At 36.3% G+C, this 1,842-nt stretch overlaps 1 annotated feature.

The window, feature by feature from the left end:
* Positions 1,469 to 1,638: an enhancer, noted in NCBI's record as "experimental_101507 CRE fragment used in MPRA reporter constructs". NCBI's record gives its function as "activates a minimal promoter by MPRAs in K562 erythroleukemia cells, with activity observed for the introgressed 8:13833417 variant allele {active_cell/tissue: K562}" and the evidence as "EXISTENCE:reporter gene assay evidence [ECO:0000049][PMID:34662402]".

The raw sequence follows: 1,842 nt of genomic DNA on the forward strand, positions 1-1,842 counted from the left end.
ATCTGAGGAGGGATTAGGAAAGAAAGCTTAAATAATTACTTAAAAAACCATGTTCAGTTTAAGGAAACCAGCATATTTTCCCATTCTGTTCACCAACAGTTTCCTCATGAAAGATAATGACTAAAAAAGAAATTCAAGTGGCATGAAAGATGAAAAGGCTATCTAACACCTCAGAAACCAGAGCTTGACATAAAGCTGGAAAGCTATGTCTTGTGTAACTTATTTTTTGAGGTGTCTCAAGTAGTGATATTTTTGTTGCCCAAACACTGTCTTTGCAGAACTACCAGAAAATAATGAACAAGAAAGTTGTGTATACTTACATGCCATCTGACGACTGGGGTGGATATACGTGGCATTTTTTTTGCTTCATGGGAGAAATAATCCCAACAAAAAAGCGTCTGTTGTTAGGGTGGGGAGAAGAAACCTGGTAACAGTGTGTACCAGGAATCATTGCTTTTTATGTGATTTTAAAAATTAGAGTATCAGCAAATTAGGAGCATGTTACAGGCAGAACTTTTTTCTCCCACATAACTTGTATGCTGAAGCCCTAATCCCCAATGTGACTGTATTTAGAGATTGGACTTTAGGGAAGTAATTAAGATCAAATTCAGTTGTAAGAGTGTACCAATGTCTTTAAAAGAAGAGGAAGAGGCATTAGAGATCTCTGTGTGTGTGTGCATGCACAGAGACGAGGCCACGGGAGGTCACGATGAGAAGGCAGGCATCTACAAGTCAGGAAGAAAGCTTAACCAGAAAACAACTTTAATGGCACCCTGAGGGCCGTCTGGTCTCCAGAACTGTGAGAAAATAAATTTCTGCTCCTTAAGCCACCCAGTCTGTGGTATTTTATTATGGTAGATAGAACAAACAGAGAGGATAAGGAAATATATTTCCTTTTTAAAGAAGAACAACATGGTTTGAGAACCTGCCACCTACTGAGAATTAGCTGTGCACTGAATCCCAGGTGTAGATCAATGACACTTACTTAAAGATTTCAATATAAGATGGAAAATAGGGAAAAGGAAGCCCACCAAAGTGCGCAATGCCAAGCACAGAATTTGGCTCATCTTATTTAAGAGGAAAAAAGAAACCATAAGATTGATAAAAAAGCTATTTATAAAAATATGTTAATATTACATGAACTTCACAGAATGTACCTCTTCAAATAAGTGCTGCAGCATTCAGAAAAAAAATGTTAGAAATACCTATGGAATTCTTAATACAATGTTGAAAAATATAGTGCCTCTGGGAAAACAGAGAGGAACAATGAAGATATACATAAAAATAATCAGATAAAATGAGAAAGAAATTTAGATACATTTAACATGTGATGCCAGAAATAAAGTCAACAAATTGATGTACTTGATGTTCTAAAAAACTGAACCAGTGTTACACAAAACAAGTTCAGGAAGTTATTCCAGAGGGTAGAGATAAAAGAAAAATACATAAATAGAATGAAAGTGAAAATAATAACTATAAAAGACAAAGTACAGAAAAAGATAGGGTATAAATAAATGAAATAATTATCTTTTAACTTAAGAATATGTTATAGACCAGCCTGGGCAACATGGCAAAACCCATCTCTACCAAAAAAAAAAAAAAATTACAAAAATTAGCCGGCATGGTGGCATGCACCTGTAGTTCTAGCTACTTGGGAGGTTGAGGTGGGAGGATCACTTGAGCCTGGGAGGCAGAGGTTGCAGTGAGTCAAGATCACACCACTGCACTCCAGCCTGGGCAATAGTGCAAGACGGTGTCTCAAAGAAAAAAAAAAGGTTATTAAATGATGGGAAACTAACAGAATGGCTAAGCCATTACAAAAAGGTGTTTTGTCTTTACTGT

The sequence above is a fragment of the Homo sapiens genome, chromosome 8, assembly GCF_000001405.40.
Source record: "Homo sapiens chromosome 8, GRCh38.p14 Primary Assembly".
Taxonomy (NCBI): Eukaryota; Metazoa; Chordata; class Mammalia; order Primates; family Hominidae; genus Homo; species Homo sapiens.